We start from the raw sequence: 18,454 nt of genomic DNA, 5'->3' as shown, positions 1-18,454 counted from the left end.
AGGCCTTGCTCCCTGTGTGGAGCCCCACTATGCTAGTGGGAAAAGGACAGGCAGCACCTGTGCAGGCCCACCCAGGTGGAGTTTAAAAGAAATCTCTGATTTTTAAATGCTCCAACACAGCCCACAGAGGCACTTCTGACATGCCGCTACTGTCAGTGGAAGGTGGACCTTCCTCTGTAGCTGTGGTGCGTTTCCTAACAAGGTTCTGGCCATCTTGAAATAATATGGTATTTTATTCAAAAGAACTGATGAAGTACCATGCCTGCCCCTTGAACAATTTTCTTAAATACTCGACTTTTCACCCAAATGTATTATCCCAACATTTAGAAGGTTACTCACCATATACTGGCACCATCTCTAGAAAACAAAGAAATCACTTGCTATGTTTGGTAAATGTCACAACCAAACACGTAACAATCATGTTCCTAAGTGTAGCAAATTCCAGCACCCACACTCCGCAGTTTCACCAGAAACAGGCAAGAGCAGACGAATACTCAGAAGAGACAATCGCTCCTCACAAACTCTTGCAGGCTACAGAGAAGGAATATGCATGATAATGAAGAATCACCACACAGACAACTGGTATTGCCAAATGAACTTGGCACTGTTCTGTGGGGAAATTTAAAGCCCACCACGAGTCCATCCTAAAAAGCCAAGAGGCACTGGTTAGAAAACCTCCTAGAAAACAGAAGGCCCATGTCCGTTTAAGTTGGCCCTGGAGCACTGAATCATATGATGTGCTTTTGTTGCTATTTTTACATTTTTTAAAAAGCCAACAAAGTAGCTTTCCAGACGTCCATGAATGGTACAGTGTGCTGAGCAGGCCTAACTGTTTAGCTTCCAGAAAGAACTCCCTCACCCCACCCGACATTCTGCTATTCTGCTCTCCCCGCCCCCCATGACAATATTTCATTTGTGACTCAAGTAACTTTTTAAAAAAGATATGCTTGATACTCTTCTGAAGCACTTATTTGGAAATAATTTGGCTTTAAGACTCTTTCCAGAAGGCACAAACTAGAGAAAGTCCCTAAAAAGAGAATACAAAAGTCAGAGAGGAGAAGAATATTGAAAACGGGAGCCCTGCACAGCTGAGGAGACACGTGACGCCCTAAAATACTATGCCATGCGAGGGTTCGGAAGCCTCTCAGCTTTGTGCATGTCAGAGGATGAAGACTGGAAGGGAGGGAGGGAAGTGAGGAAAGAGAAACACAAGTGCACAAAGTGGGTCAAGCTGCAATTTGCAGGAGGCCAATGGTTTACGACACAGGACAACATAAATGGAATGAAATCAATTAGGTACTGCTCACCTGTTGACCTAATGCTTATTGAATGTCTTATAACCAAGATACATGGCTTTGCCCATTAGCTTATGGAGTTAGAAGCCACACATATAAAAGATCAAGTGGTTTCACTTATGACACCCTCTGGAACTGATGCTCGTCTATTGGAAGGAGGGAAGGGAAGGAGGGGTAGAGGTTCTGAACCACCGGGGATGACAAAGCCAAAAAAGTTTCTATTCTTATGGAATCACGTCTGTATAACTGTTTGTAATATTGCAAATTTCACATTTTAAATGCACTTGAAATGTTGTCATATGTATGTATTAAGCTACACGTAAATGAAGATCCTTGACTTGGTATTCTATCAAACGCTGTTCTCCGATGAGACGTGACCAATCACACACAGGAACTATGCCACGCTTCCTTCCACAGGAGAAAGTAAGTAAGTAAGCAGAAGGCGAGGTTGGAAAAAAGTGCTTCTTACCTCTTTCTGGCTTCTTCATATTGCCAATTAAGTCTGACTCGGTCTACAAGTCTTGTTTTATCATCAAAGACAAACTTTCCGGAACAGAAGAGAGAAAAAAAGAAAGGAAACGCATATTAAAAACATATTTCCAAAATAGCAACTTCACTTAAACTTTCGGCAGCAATGAGAAATATTCTTCATCTCTTTCACTTTCAATCTGTGCAAGGTCTGGAAGGAAACACTGAATAACCCTTTGCGGCCACCCCTGGCTGGGGAGGGGGGAGGGGGAAGGGAAGACTCTTGCTTGCCTAAACTGGTAGGGTTTTTTGTTTTTTTTTACAGCAGCAGCATATCTATCTATTCTGTAATTCCAAACAACAACCACAAATTAGGTTTTAAAAGAAGTAGGAAATTACTTAGTAAAAGTTGATACAAAGGCAAAAACCAGTCACCCGATTTTGTGCAGTACATTCTCTAATTCCTCAGTAAACGTAAAATAATGATGTTCTACTCAGAAGCTCCACGGTCTGAGGAAGCTGGACTAGCTGTGTGACGGATGGGCTGGTGGACGCCTTCTGATGCCACGAGGTGTGTTAAAGAACCAAGGGCAAGCCAGGCGCGGTGGCTCACGCCTGTAATCCCAGCACTTTGGGAGTCTGAGGCGGGCGGATTACGAGGTCAGGAGATCGAGACCATCCTGGCTAACACGGTGAAACCCCGCCTCTACTAAAAATACAAAAAATTAGTCGGGCGTAGTGGCAGGCGCCTGTAGTCGCAGCTACTCGGGAGGCTGAGGCAGGAGAATGGCATGAACCCAGGAGGCGGAGCTTGCAGTGAGCCGAGACTGAGCCACTGCACTTCAGCCTGGGCGACAGAGCAAGACTCCGTCTCAAAAAAAAAAAAAAAAAAAGAACCAAGGGCAAAAGGAAAGCAAGCAAGGTCTCAAAAAGCCAGAGCTCGGGGAGTACCAATATAGAGTTAGCCTAAATGCGGTGCTCTGTGACGAGTAGATATACTTAAATATTTTTGTACCAGTTACATTGATGACAATAAAATCCTACACAAAACAAAAAAAGACATGTACAGGAAGTAACTGTAGTACATTTTGGTTAATTCCTCATTCCTGCAAATATTCACACAACTCCAGTTTCAATAAATCAGCTCCATCTGTTGATCTGACCTTACTAGATCACATATTATGGCCACCAAGTCTTTACATTTTTGAAATAACTTCCCATCAACAAGTATCTGAAAATATTCAACTTGAATGATTAGCAGTGAATTTATCGACACGAGTTTTGATCTATGTTGATGAAAAATGTCTTCGCAAATTTATTGCCTTGAATGGCAAGATGAAAAAGTGCCTTACAAGGGACTGAGCATTCTCCAACCAGAATGACAATTGTTCATGGTTTCTTTTTTTGAGACAGGGTCTCGCACTATTGCTCAGACTAGAGTGCAGTGGCACAATCACAGCTCACTGCAGCCTCAACCCCTTGGGCTCAAGCGATCCTCCTGCCTCAGCCTCCCAAGTAGCTGGGACTACAGGCATGAGCCACCACGCCCAGGTGGTTGCCCAGCCATGTTGCCCAGACTGGTCTTCAACTCATGGGCTCAAGCAATCTGGCCACCTCTGGCCACCTCAGCCTCCCAAAGTGCTAGGATTACAAGCATGAGCCACTGTGCCTGGCCACAATTATACATGTTTAAACGGCCTCATCCAATGCTCCTCTCCAGCTTCCTCAGTATAAATATATTTAAGTGGCAGTGCCACAGCTCCAAAAGCTGTCCACAGTGGAGATGAGCTACTTGCCATTTCAGTCCCCTCTTTATTAGTGACCCTGCAATCAACTCATCAAGATCAGTAAACATCATCTCTCAAACCTCTTCTCAAAGCTGTATGCACCTCTCTCTAAGCTTTGTTTCTGTACTCTTCTTTGAGAATTAAATGGACATTTTAGTGAAAAGAAAAGACAGCCAAATGGATCCAAGAGACTCCTGCTTCAGAGTTCCTATGCAGCGCTACAGCGTGTGCAACCCTGTGGCTGCAAATCTCCAGTCTCAAAAAGCACATCTGACATACAGCAATATCCACCCCACAAAACAGACTCAACACAAGCACAAAGTGAGGTAGGCAGACTTCTAAGAAGGCCCCTAATGACCAACACCTCCTGGGATTCTCCCCGTGTGAAATTCCCTCCCCCTGAGAATAAACTGGGTCTATAACTTGACTCTAACCAATAGAACAGAACAAAGGTGATGGGAAGTCATTTCTGTGAATAGGTTACAAAAGACTGTGACTTCCATCTTGCTAGCAGACTCTCAGCTGGTACACTTTGACGAAGCAGGCTGCCGTGCTGGAGCAGCCCATGTGGCAAGGAACTGAAGCCCTCAGTCCAGCAACCTGTGAGGAACTGAATCCTGCCAACAATCACATGAGCTTAAGAGTGGCCCCTCCCCCAGGTGAGCTTTTGGATGAGACCACAGTCCTGGCTGACACCTTGATTGCAGGGAAGTTCCTGAGAGACCCTGGAGCAGAAGACCCAGCCCAGTCTCCTGGACCACATCAAGCATGAGATAATAAAGGAGTGTTGTTGTAAGAGGCTAGGTTTTGGGGAAATCTGTTATGCAGCAATGGTTAGCTAATACAGTCATAGCCTTTTGATCTATTTTTCTATAACATGATGTGGTTTCTTAGAAAGTACAGGGGTTTAGGGATGAGAAATGTTTCAAAACCAGACCTGCCTCTCCTCAGCTACAAGACCTTAGGTAACCTGGCATCTCGGTCTCCTGCACATCACACAGGATGGGAACAACTACTTAAACTGAGATAACAGCTATGAGATTGCTGACCTAGGGTCAGCCCCGGTAAACTTCAGGAGCTTATCAACAATGAGCAGTGACTGCTCAAGTAGCATAACCAGCCACCACTCCTCACCTGACATTTTTAGAAGGGTTGACCTAAATCACTGGAGAACCTTCTATCTTAACTGTTTCTCTCAAACTAAATTCTAATTCTAACCTTACAATAAGCAGCAATGAATTATTCACGAATTCAATGAGTCTTACACTTGTTTCCTTCTCTCGCTCCAAAATCTTTACGCAAAAATGCCAAACATTTTTGAATTACAGATTCTCCTCTGTGTGTTACAGATGGCGACCATATTCTTTCATCCAAAGAAGATGCCTAGTCAAAAACGGCCAAGTGTACGTTTGGAACAACGCAGGCAAATTTGAAAATAGGACTGTTCCAGGACACCCAAGACATAAAGGGCCGTGATTTCCTACATTATACTCCACTCGAAGAGGCACTAGTTGCTAAGATTTCAAAATATTAATTAGCTAATTATTTAAAACCCAGAGTTTTCCATCAATTGTTTTTTCCTCCTTTTGTTGCTTTCCTTTTATTTATTTAATTTCGGGGGAGGGGTGGCACTGTGCATTCCATTGATACCTCATCTTTACTTAATAATCCTTAAAAAAAAAAAAAGAAGCTCTTTAAACTGTTTTTCCATTTGGTAACAAATTAATGTCAAGCTTCACTCAATGATATTACAATACTAGCGTCTTTGAATATCCACCATCCTGCTTCAAATGGTGATTTTCCCAACTTTGTTTTTGTGGCTAACTCAAGGCTTCGCTAATTAACAAAGGAGGCATTATGACATTCTTCCAAGTCTCAAACAAAAATGACTTTTAGTTCAATTCAATTTCCTGACATTCTTTTAGAAGAGTAAGAAACAGCAATAAAGTAACACCCAAGGTGGCACAGCTATAAAGCCTTTGGAAATCAGTGGTCTAAGGCAGGAATCAGTAACTATGGCCCTGGGGCCAAATCCAGCCCACTGGCTGTTCCGTAAGTGAACGTTTGAGCAGCTCGAGGCCCCAGTCTTACATGCTTGCAAGGCATCTCTGTTATGGCTGCATGTACACTACAATGACAGGGTGGGGCAGTTCCAGCAGAACTACCTGCAAAGCCTAAAATAGTGACTATATTTACTATCTGGCCCTTCACAGAAAAAGCGTGGGGACTCATGCTCTAAAAAGTGATATGTCTGTCAAAAGAACAGTGAAACTCAACTCTCACAAGGAGTATGTCATTTATAAGAGTCCAAATCATAAGGGCAGCAGTAATAAGCAATTCAATTGTATCACACAGCTGGATGTGAGACACAACACTTTTTCTTCAAACTTAATGGCACAAAAGTGAAGGCATTTCTTAAGTGAACATGGAAAATTACACCAAACCAGTGATGGCAACACTGAAGCAGCCCTCCCCTCTCCCGGTGCATTTCTCCCCCTGGGCGCGCATATACCTCCCCGATGATATCAGTCTGGGAGCCGGCATCGCAGAACTGCTGGGGTACACCAGCATCGCCAGGCACGCCTACATGGTGAGGGAAGTCCACTAGAGAGTCGGTAACGGAGCAGCTGTTCTTGAAGCTATCGGTCAGCTTGGCCAGGCTCTGGAACACAATGAGACAAGCTCTTTGAACGGAGATGGTGATGTGTCTCTTCCCTCCAGAAGTGGTTCTCTCATTTGTTTTAGGTCTGCTGCATTATTTATTACTGAACAGTTGCCCCACCTCACCCCCATGCTCGTTAGATTTCACATAAATGCCCTTCATCACAGGCACCTCTAATAAAATTCTTAGTCATTTAAATCACATCGCAACTAAGTCCCCCTGGCAGCATGTGAATAAAATAGAGGACAATTATGGTACCATTTTTACTGGTTCTTAAACCTTCATGTTTCCTAAAGAAAAAAATAAGTATTTCTATCGAAAATGTAAATGAGCCTGACAGAGATGAATGCTGCCTTGAGATTGTTACAGAGGAAAAACAGGGAAGGGGAAAACAGCTCCCAGACAATGCTTACGTATTTCTTTTTCAGTTCTTTGAGTTGCTGTTTTAGCTTACGTATTTTTATAAACCTCATTTCTCAGTCATAATTCTACATGGTCAAAAGTAATCTCATATGTATGTTGGTTTGCCAAAAATTAGAGTTAGTATGCATTCTGGCACATGAAATCTCTCTGTGTGGCAGTTTTAAGCAGAAATCAGAATTCTGATTTTTTTTTTTTTTTTTTTTTTTTTTGAGAGAGGGTCTCACTCTATCACTCAGGCTGGAGTGCAGTGGCACAATCATAGCTCACCGTAGCCTCGACCTCCTTGGCTCAGGTGATCCTCCGACCTCAGCTTCCTGAGTACTTGGGACTACAGGTATGCCACCACACCCAGCTAAACTTTTGTTTGTTTGTTTGTTTTTGTAGAGACCAGGTCTCACTATGTTGCCTGGGCTTTTCTCAAAGTTCTGGGCTCAAGCTATCCTCCTGCCTCAGCCCCCCAAAGTGCTGAGATTATAAGCATGAGCCACTGCACCCAGCCAGAAATCAGATTTTTGACCATTTCTTTTAGACTTCTGAATATATTCACTTTCAGCAAATTTTACTACAGACACCAGAACCAAAAATGCCCAAGTGCAGTAGAACTCACAAAACTGGCTTGAGATTGAGATAAGGCCTTCTTGGGAGGGGCCAATATTGTTAAGTTCACATAAGAAAGGCAAAACAACTTATTTAACCTGGATAGAAGAGGACTCTGCCTGTGCCTCTTCCTGGAGCTTCTCAGAGTTTGAGAGGCTATGGAGACGTCAAAGAAGGTGCTCGAGCCTGAAGCTTCTTCCAGAAATTCTATCTGTTGCCTCCACGGTGGGAATTCAAGCAAGGCAAATGAGTGGCTGGCCCTGGTGCTGCACACGGTGGCCTCAGAGAGGCCGGGGCAGGCAGCCCTGCTTGGCCTCATGGCGTAAAGCCTCTGTGTCTCCACCATGGAACACCACATGGTTCAGCCTGCGGTATTGACGATGGGTAACAAACATGGGGCATCTTGTTTGATGTCAGCTGAGCAGAGACCTCAATAAATGGTAGCTGTTCTCAGTGCTACCTGTGTGCCAAAAAAAAAAAAAATCTAACAATTAACCATTTACTTATCACAACCTGGAGAGGTCATCTGAAAATAGATTCCTAGGCCCTACCTCCAGAGATTCTAATTCAGTGAGTCTAGGGTGGGGCCTGGTAATCTGCATCTTAACAAGCACCATGAGGACTCTCCGCAAGTCCCTCATGGCCTTGACCTTAGAAGGCACTACCCAGGCAGGGTAGTTTTTTTGTGCATCTGTCTCATTTTGCCTATGAGTTTGAGCTTTGCTTGTTCTGTCCTGTGGGTCTTATACTCTACAGAATCTAGACACATGCCAGCAGGCAGTAGGTGCTCACTTAGGGTAGCAGATGAAAAATAAAAGCTGTAACCAAAAGCACTGAATGCATTCCAGCACTTTACGTCATGAGGTCAAGCAGCGCTCCCCTGCCTTGGCCTCTCTGAGGCCACCATGTGCAGCACTAGGGCCAGCCACTCAGATGTCTTGCTTGAGTTTCCCACCATGGAGGCAGCTTTTTGCATTTGCAAAAGTTCAACTTTTTCTAAAAATAACAGAAACTACAAAAGCTCAAGGGGAAAAAAACATAAAGCAGTATAAAGCTACAATGATCCCAGCTATATATAATACAAATACACCCACATAGTAAAATACTATGCAACCATCTCAAGGAAAGAAGCAGCTCTTTGTGTACAGATATGGGGAAAGGTAGGGGATATTGCTGTTAAGTGAGGAAGCTAGTGCGGAACAGTATCACAGTCCTGGCTTTGCGTGAGGGCGGCTAAACATGTATTCTCTTTTTGTGTGCCCACATGAATGCTGGAAGGGTAGGCAAAAAGGTAATAAAGGCAGTCAGGGGCAGTAGGAGGATGGGGCGATAGCGAGACTTCTTATCATAGACCTTTGGAATTATCTTGATTATTGAACAATATAAATGTATCACCCATTGCTGTGGGTTGAATTATGTTCCCCCAGGAGATATGTTCAAGTCCTAACCCCAGGAACCTGTGAGTGTGACCTTATTTGGAAATAGTCTTTACAGATGTAATCTAGTTAAGATGAGGTCATACTGGATTAGGGTGGGTCGTTATCCAATGGCTGGTGTCCTTACAGGAACAGGAAATTCAGACAAAGAGACAGTCATGTGACCATGGAGGCAGCAATCAGAGTGGCTCATGCCTGTAATCCCAGCACTTTGGGAGGCCGAGACGGGAGGATCGCTCGAGGCCAGGAGTTTGAGACCAGCATGGCCAACACGGTGAGACCCTGTCTCTACTAAAAATATAAAAATTAGCCAGGCATGATGGTGCGCACCTGTGGTCCCAGCTACTCTAGAAGCTGAGGTGAGAGGATGGCTTGAGCCTGGGAGGTCAAGGCTACAGTGAGCCATTTTTGTGCTATTGTACTCAAGCCTAGGTGACAGAGATCCTGTCTCCAAAAAAAAAAAGAAAAGTATACAGGAGGACTGTGCAGGTTATATGCAAATACTACACCATTTTATATAAGGGACTTGACCATCCAATGATTTTGGTATCCTGAGGGATGGGGGTGTGTCTTGGAACCAATCCCCCAAGGATACAGAGGGATGACTATATACGTACTTAAATACAGTGGGGGGTGCGTATGTATGTATGCATGTGTGTGTGTGTGTGTATTATATACACATATATGTTATATATACAATAACTATATAACATGTAATACATAAGTATATTAAAAACATCTTAAAATAAAACACATGAGCAGGCAGGCAGCTTACATGCATCAGGTCCCGCCTCTCCTTCTCGCCTGTGCAAATGGCCTTCTTGATGGTCCGGAGCTCACTCATGATAGCCTGCGCCTCATCCAGTTTGTAGCTGGTGTGAGTACTTGACATCTTCCGATCAATCCTAGTTAAAACAGAAAAATCAATGTCATTTCACATGAGATCCTAGCATTCCATTAAACATACAACTACGAAAACCCAAAAGCTTCATAGAGAGGTGGAAACAGTTAAAGTAATGTTTTGGCTAAGAAAAAGAAAGACCCCACGGAAGCGTCCCTCCTTCTGGTCGATACAACACCCTTTGCTCAGGAGCACCCTGGGCAGGTGAAGACGTCCGAGACAGGATGCCCACGTCCTCCGCTAATGATTGCGCAACAAGATTGCTTGCTTGAGTAATTTCCCGAGACTGTAAATTCCTCTCTCTGAAAAGAGGACATGTTTTGTTTATCTCCAGGTTAGTGGTCAAAATCTTTGTTAAATAAACATATGAATGAGATCTGTGTACAGGGAGAATATATGGGACACAGCAAGAAGTAGTGAGCTTTCGATAATGGTGCTTTGTACAAAAGCTGGAAACCTTTTCTGTCTCCTATAACTCTGATTTCATTCTGGTTCTAATTTATTACTCACTCTTTCTCCTACCAAGTCCTCAATTCTTTCCTTCAATCCAAACACTCATCCAGGGAAAATGGCAATGTCCCTCCCTCCCTCCTTCCTCCCCTTCCTCCCACCTTTCCTCCAAGCTTCCATCCTCCCAGCCAGCTCCTGTACACACCAGGCCTGGGTCTGGGGCTGGACGCAGAGCACAGAACAAAACAAGACTTGGTTCTGCCTTCAAAGGGAGGTGGCCTCTGGAGCATGTCCTTTGTCACATCCCCTACACCTGAGGCTCCAGCATGGGAAGCCCTAAGGCTAAGGAACTTGAGAAATTTTGGTCCAGAGTGGAATGAATTCCTTCTCTGGAAAGCAACTGGCTTCTTTCAGGTTCCGAGTCTCCCAGTTCACAGGTTCTGGTTCTAACATTTCCCTCCATGTTATCCTGAAAACCTGGATCATTAACTGCCAGCCCCAACTCCCTTGCTTACCGCTCACAGGAACCTCTGGCATGCTGGTGGGTGCGAGTGGCACCCAGCTCTGCCACTCACTGGCTGTGGGACCTGGGTGAGTCACTTCCCCTCTTTCCACCTGCTTCTTCCTGTCTCAAATGGGGACACTAAAAATATTTCTCCCATGGGATGGGCATGAGATTTAATGAGAAAATGCAAGGTAAGAGCTTGCTTGGCAGGAGGCCTGGCATATGGTGTTTGCGGTGACTGTTATTATCAGGATAACACAGAATCTCCTTACTCATGGGAGAAAAAGTAAATAACTTGCCAACTCTGGTGTTTTATTATCATTAACAAATTCCTTGCCAAATATGTCACAACTCAAGCAAAACTCGGCACCAGAGTCAACCTGAGCTATCAGCATCCATGGCCTAGGAAGAGGGCAAACAACACAAGCAGGAAGCCATTGACTCCCTTTGAATAGGGCTCTGGGGCTCGGCAGCATTGCTGTGATTGCCATCAGCTACAAATAAAATATTTATAAACACTAGTCCTGAGTTCTGCCCCGAGGAGAGCAGATAGAGGCACACCGTGCATGGTGAATAATGACACTCCTAAATGCCAACGTGTCCTGACCCTGCAGGCACTTCCATAATGGCTGTTACAGACTTGTAGGTTTCTCAAATACACATTGCCTTGTCTGTTCCTACAAAGCAGAAGTCTTTATTTATACATCTTTATTAAAAGGTACACGTATCTTTAACTATAGAGTATTCCATGCCAAAAGTTAAAATAAGTGAGCATGAACTAAAGTTTGAGCTGTGGGCATATTTTTTCTTTTTATTCTGCTCTCATTAAATCCCTTCTTTCACAAAACAGTTCATCCAAATGATCAAGGTGGTAAACTTTAACAGTCTACATCACCTGAGGGTCCTCGGGAGATTTGGCAATAAAATAGAAAAAGTTCCCAGCACAGTACCAGCAGGCCAGTTGGTGGCTACTAAAACGTGGGAGCCAATAGCAAGAATGGTGACAGTAGGCATATAAACCCATTGTACATTTTCAAAACTCTTTTGTTTGTCCCTCAAAACCAGCCCCACTTCCATCAAAATGGCTGGCCTTCTCACTCACTGCTCGTAACTCACTGGGATATTCATGGAAGGGCTACCTTATACTTTCTTAGCTGTCATAGCTTCACAACACCTCCATTTTTTCAATTGTGATCCATTTTCATCCAACAAAAACTTCAAAGGACAGTAAATGTCTTCTTTTACTTCTGTAAAATTCATTTATTTGAGAGCACACTCTCTCTCTCTAAAACTTCCCTAAAAAACTTTGGTCCAATGTAGATGATGTGCTCAATGATTTGGTATTTTTTAAAAATATTGATGTATTCCAGTTCGTTTAAAAAATCATAAGATCTGTGACTGCCAAAGAACTGCCTTATTCTGGTCTTAATTTTAATTAAGAGTGCAAGACAGTGCCTTTACCATACATCACAAATAAAATGATAGAAAAGGTAACTGCTCAAGGAGACTAAACAAGGACATGAGTTATTATGCAGTATGAAATCAAAATTCAGTGCACAGACTCACAGTCTTTACTTTTGCACCCTCTACATTTTGCATTCAGCTTCAGGGACGTTAAGTGATTTGCTGAGGGTCACACAGCCAGTAACAGGCAAAGTGAAGTTCACAGCCAAGGCCCCCCACACCAGGACTTGTCTGCTCCATCACCAGGTTCGCAATATATTCAAAGTCAAGGCCTCTAAATGCCCATTGTGTCAAACCTGAAGGCCACCCATATAACCAGTCAAATGTCATCCCAAAGTAAACTGGTGCTCTTTATGGTGTGCTTTTGAAAGAAATGGGCTGGAGAGAAAAGAAGAAGATACAGCTTCAGATGAGGAACCTAGTACAATGGAAAAGGCATTTTAGAGATGTTTATTGTCAACCTCTACCTCCTGCCACCCTAAAATTTCCATATTGGTTGTTCAATTTAAGATGTCAAGAGAACTGCACTAGGAAAAATAAGAGTAAAACCACATAACTTCTTAACCCCACATCTTGAAGGAAAGAGCTGCCAGCCCTCTAAAGATATTCTGTGTTAATACCACAGATTACAACCCAGAAGAATGGAAAGGTTTGTTACAACTTCTACATTTTCTATCAGCAGCTCTGGCAGACGGCCTTGGGTGAACCTCAGAAAGCTTCCGGCGGCTTTCTATCAACAGCAAGACCTGTGTGGAACACCAGACCTGTCCCACAACCAGGAACAATCCTCTTTTTGTTTCCAGCCCATTTCTGTACGTTTCGCTGTTGTTATCTGAGCATTGCCGAGGTTTTCGCGTGGGCTGTTCCTTAGGTGCTACGCTAATGGGAGATTGTTACTTTAAGCCTGTTCTACTGAACAATCCCACTCTTTCTTGAAACTACTAAATCCCTTCAGACAGAAAATGCTAATTCTAATATGCAGTAATGCTTCATTCTGGTATTGCATGCTTAGAAGGATGTAGTGGCTCATATTTAAGGAGACAAATGGGTTTCACCCCATTTGGGAAGTTAATCAAGAAATCAAAAGTCTTGAAGCAGAGGCTCACCTAGTGGCTAAGAATGTACCTCATGGAAACTAGTTAGTGGAACATCTGGTGAGCATCCCTTTCTGTGATTTGAATAGCAGTGATAATAGGACTTCTTAAAACCCAGGCCAAAACAATATCACACAAAATGCAGAAGAGAATGCTGTGCTAGAGGACAGTTGGCAAGAAGGTGACTGGACAATGTCTAGAGGCCTCCCTGAGTTCCTCCAGCCCAGGGACAAAAGTTTTGGCCAAGGAAACATCTGCCCTCACTCAGAGTGTCCCAGTGTCCGAGAAAGAAGTGGACCCTGTGATGGCTACTAGCGGGCAGGAACAGCAACCTCAGCCACTCCCCCCAGCACCCGGGCAATCTGCATTCACTCCCAAGCCCCACCCTGTGCTGAGAACTGGCTGGGTCCTCAGGATGAAGCGGCGAACAAAGCCAAGTCCTTGTCTTCGTGCAGCACGATTCGAGCCAAGGAGACAGACAATGAAAAGTACATCCTTAGGTCAGGCAGTCACAAATGTTTTCAAAAAAAAATGAAGCAGTTTGGGGATAGAGTGTGACAGAGTACATTTTTAGATGGATGGTTAAGCCAGGATCTCTCGAGATGTCACTAAGCAAAGGCCCACGGAAGTGGGGGAGCAGGCATGTGAGAATCTGGGGGAAAGAGCATTCCAAGCAGAGGGAGCTCCAAGTACCCACGGTAAAGGCAGGACATCCCTTTCAAAGGTGAAACTAGAGGTAAATGAGGCAGGGCCGGGGGCCAGCCTATGTAGAGTCTGGCTTGTGTTGTAGGTGAGAGAGAGCCACAGAAGGACCACAAGGAGAGCACTAGCTGTGGAAGAACCCCATGGCTACTGTGTGAGGATGGAGACTCACATTAGTGCTTGGCCCAGAGCCGTGGTGGTGGAAGCTGTGAGAAGGATCAGAGGCCGGGTGTAGAAACAGCACACCATGGACAAGGTGGCCAGGCAGTGTTACCCAAAAGCATCTTCTGCCATCAAGCCAGTGCTCAGGGACATTATAGGTATCATGGCAGGAAAAGGCTCTAATAACACGAGCAGGAAACTCAGGGAAGGGCAATGTTAAATGAGCTTCCCAGCTGCAGGACCACTCAGAATCTAACATAAGGGGCCGGGTGCAGTGGCTCACGCCTGTAATCTCAGCACTGTGGGAGGCCGAGACGGGCAGATGGCTTGAGTCCAGAAGTTCGAGACCAGCCTGGGCAACATGGTGAAACCCCGTCTCTACTAAAAAAATATAAAAATTAGCTGGGCATGGTGGTGTGCACCTGTAGTCCTAGCTACTCAGGAGGCTGAGGCATGAGAATCGCTTGAACCCGGGAGGCAGAGGTTGCAGTGAGCCAAGATCGTGCCACTGCACTCCAGCCTGGGCCACAGAGTGAGACTCCATCTCAAAAAAAAAAAAAAAAAAAAAAAATCTAACACAAGGTACATTCTAGAGCTCCAGGCAGGAGCTGGAGAGGGGAATTTGCCCACATCTGTTGGTGCACTTGGTCCGTTCACGCACATCACCCAGTTGGGAAACATTGCACGTGTCCTGGTCCTGAGTCTTCCCTTTGCCTCTGGACACTAGTAGTAAGTTACAGTAAGGTAATTTTTCCAAAACGTTTCAGAAACTTTAGGGCAACAGAGTCCAGGGGACCTTTCACTGGAAAAGCTCAATTTTTCTCTAAACTTTAATTAGTCATTGTAAATGGTGCTCCTATTTTCTGAAGACTTTTATAAAAGGCCTCAAGAAAAATGCAAATTGAAACTACACTGAGATACTATCTCTCACCTATGAGACTGGCAAAAATGCAAATGCTTATCAACACATCCTGTTGGCAAAGTCACAGGAAACGAGAACACTCATATGTTAGTGGTAGGAAGGCAAAATGGTGCAACCCCTCAGCAAAGGAATTTGGCCATATCTAATACAAGCTGAGTATCCCTAATCTGAAAATCTGAAATCCAAAGTGCTTCAAAATCTGAAACTTTTTAAGCATTGACATGACACCCAAAGAAAATGACCAGTGAAGCATTTCAGGTTTCAGATTTTTGGATGAGGGATATTGAACCAGTAAGTATAATGCAAATATTCCAAACCAAAAAAAAAAAAAAAAAAAAAAAAAAAAAAAAAAAAACTGAAATTCAAAACACTTCTGGTCCTAAGCATTTCAGATAAGAAATACAACCTATAATACAACAAATACATTCACCCTTTAACCTACCAAGCCCGCTTTCAGGAACTTATCCTGGAAGATACACATCCATAACTTAGGTAAAAAGCTGACAAGAAATGTTATTAATATAAATCAAAGCATTGGGCTAACAAGGCCAGAACCTACTGATCATCTTCACACCGCAAAAAGAAACAAGCACAGAGTGGTGCCTCCTGATGGAAGTAACACCACCACCTAAAAACATTCTTACTAAAAAAAGAAAAGAAATCCAACTTGAATCAGATCAAGCCTCTCAAACTATTACGCCCATTTGCATAAATAACAAGAGACAGAGGAACACGTTCAATGACATCATGTGAATTTCAGCAGCAAAACCCAACATTAGGGAAATTCTATAGGACAACCAAATTACTTTCTCCAACAAATAAGCTGTCAGGGGAAAAAAAGGAGGGAGAGTAGAAAAGAAAAGACGTAAGAGACACATCAACCAAAGGCACTCTGTGGCCCAAACTGGACCCAAACACCTGAAGAAATGCAAGAGCTCACTGGACACAAGATGCCTAGTAAATGGGGTACAGGGATTAGAGTTATTTTCAAAAGGAGTCCATAACTTTAGGAGACATATTTATGGATTAAATGGGATTCTGGCATTTGCTTCAATAAGGCCGTGAGAGCTTAGCAGATGGGGTGGGGTCACCACCGAAACAAGATTGGCAATTGTGCAGGTTAAATGGGGTGAGGGGTACAGGAAGGTTTCAGTATACTATTCTCTCTGCTTTTGTGTTTGATATTTTCCATCATTAAAAGCTTACATGTGTACACTTCACATAGATACACATAAAACACACATCTGTGTACATATTCTATCATTAACCCAGCGAACATATCTGTGGCCAATTCCTCTCTACAACAATCAACAACATATATAGATTTAAAGTAAAATACAAAAGGTTCTTTTTTCCTTACTTGGACCCAAGTGTAATGATGAATTTCCTTGCTAGCCAGGAAATTCACCAAGATAAACAAGGCAAGCTTAAAATGTTATAAGCAGCCAAACTCCTAGTGAGGTGCTCTGGAAAAGAATACACTGGATATTCTGGGAAGCAAGAACAGCAGGAAATTTTCTGGAGGAAAATCTCAGGCCACTGCCTTAAGCAATGTTGGTGATAAAATCAGAGATGCTTCATGTTTAGGTATAACAGCTCACCTGCTATCTGTACGTATAGTCAGGATTTCCCAGTAGAGATGGGGTAATCACATTTTCAATGCTTGAAAAGGCCTTCTAAAATTTCTCAATTAAAAAAATATACATTTGCATGATTCAATCCAAACCTAAACACCCAATGTTCAATACCAGAAAAATAATGAGGCTGTTTTCATCTCATAAGCTGTGGAACTCAGAGAAAGGCTACCAGATTATCTTCCACTTACAAAAATATTTTAAGAGTGGCACGGGTGCCTGGGTTTTCTCTTCTTCCTGTGAGGCTGTGTCTGTCCCAGAATAAAGTAAACATGCACAGTAACAACGCAGCGTCAGACAGAGCCAAGGCAACGTGCCCATTAAACAACAGCTCTGGGCAGCTCCCTCCTGAAAGCTAACTTGCCCCTGGTCAGGCATGAGGTGGGGTGGGCCCCTCAGGACCAAGGCCAGGTCCAGAGCCTTCCCCAGGCCACTCCTTGGCCTCCAGGGGGAGGGCGGGTATTCTCATGAGCTCAGGCAGACAGGAGGAGCCTCCCCTTGGCAAGTGGCAAGTTTACAATTGCTGTTCCCAAGCGTGGGATCTTGATAATGAAAGCAGAAAGACAATCCAAACAGCACTGGCCCGCCTCTCTTCCAGGAGCACAACTTGCGCTCCGTTTTGGCCGCAGGTGTTAAGTTAAAATTCTCGTTATTCTGGCTCCTGCTTCTCTGTCTAATGCCCCTAGGGAAACAGAGGCTGCCTTTTCCTATTCTTGAAACCACTGCAACTACAAAAGATGAATTCACATCCTAGCCATGCTAAGGAGAAGGGGGTTTTCTCAGTCAGCAGTACGTTTCAGTTTCTAAATCAGTCCATCTACAGCTGACACTGCTATATGGCCTTTGTCTTCAAATAAGGAAATGGAGTTCACCAGAACGATGGAGCCAAGGCAAAGCAACGGGCGCTGAGCCCAGCAACCCACTACAGAAACCATGGCCATGAGGGAAGTGCCAGACGTGGCTCCCTGCTGATGCTCAGGGATCCTGAGCAAACTCAGACTCTTCCTGAACCCCAGTCACCTTCCTCAGAGCTGCAAATGAGAATGACATTAACTGCAACCTCCGGCACACACAATGACTAACATTAAAACCACCTACTGGGCCGGGCGTGGTGGCTCATGCCTGTAATCCCAGCACTTTGGGAGGCTGAGGCAGGCGGATCACCTGAGGTCAGGAGTTCGAGACCAGCCTGACCAACATGGTGAAACCCGGTCTCTACTAAAAATATAAAAATTAGCTGGGCATGGTGGCGTGTGCCTGTAATCCCAGCTACTTGGGAGGCTAAGACAGGAGAACTGCTTGAACCCAGGAAATGGAGGTTACAGCGAGCCAAGATTGCACCACTGCACTCCAGCCTGGGTGACAAAGACTCCCCATCTCAAAAAAAAACCAAAAAAAAACAAACAACTACATATTGTCCAGAGACACTGTATCACAATGAGAGACAGCTACAGTGTGGCCTAATGAAGGTAGAAAATTCACCTCAAATCCAACTAGGTAGTCCTAATAACTTTTGGTGACCTGTCACAAATCAAATGATTTGTTTCTGCTTATTCTTTATCCACCACCTTAGCCAAAGTGACACAGGATGACACTGCCACAGCACACACAGTCGCATCTGAGGAGGTGTTGGAGTATCTGGAGGCTGGCTGGAGTGGGGGGCTAAAAGGACAAAACACACGTCGGTGCATTTGGAAAGCACTCTGGCCTATGCACCGCATGAATGACAAAACCAGCAGCCGGTTAGTTGGAAAAGAAGCTTGATTTGCTTAAGACAAAACTAAAGAAGAGGCCGGGAACGGTGGCTCATGCCTGTAATCCCAGCACTCTGGGAGGCCGAGGCGGGCAGATCGCCTGAGGTCAGGAGTTGGAAACCAGCCTGGCAAATGTGGCAAAACCCCATCTCTACTAAAATACAAAAATTAGCCAGGCGTGGTGGCGGGCACCTGTAA

At 44.2% G+C, this 18,454-nt stretch overlaps 1 protein-coding gene across 1 annotated transcript in view, besides 2 other annotated features; it reads right to left on the bottom strand.

Annotated features, from left to right (window-relative positions):
• The window catches only part of WWC3 (WWC family member 3), a 129,221-nt gene that overhangs the window by 44,131 nt on the left and 66,636 nt on the right, over positions 1-18,454 (bottom strand). The window contains 3 exon segments of the mRNA NM_015691.5: positions 1,765-1,838; positions 6,063-6,212; positions 9,444-9,573. Coding sequence (NP_056506.3) covers positions 1,765-1,838; positions 6,063-6,212; positions 9,444-9,573 — 354 coding nt within the window.
• Positions 1,911-1,960: an enhancer, noted in NCBI's record as "active region_29407". NCBI's record gives its function as "activates an Ori minimal core promoter by ATAC-STARR-seq in GM12878 lymphoblastoid cells {active_cell/tissue: GM12878}" and the evidence as "EXISTENCE:reporter gene assay evidence [ECO:0000049][PMID:35858748]".
• Positions 16,958-17,458: an enhancer, noted in NCBI's record as "H3K4me1 hESC enhancer chrX:10050926-10051426 (GRCh37/hg19 assembly coordinates)". NCBI's record gives its function as "activates a minimal SCP1, AML or CMV promoter by ChIP-STARR-seq in primed H9 embryonic stem cells {active_cell/tissue: H9 hESC(primed)}" and the evidence as "EXISTENCE:reporter gene assay evidence [ECO:0000049][PMID:30033119]".

Source organism: Homo sapiens, chromosome X, assembly GCF_000001405.40.
Source record: "Homo sapiens chromosome X, GRCh38.p14 Primary Assembly".
In the NCBI taxonomy this organism is placed as follows: Eukaryota; Metazoa; Chordata; class Mammalia; order Primates; family Hominidae; genus Homo; species Homo sapiens.
This window is presented reverse-complemented; position numbering and strand designations above follow the sequence as displayed.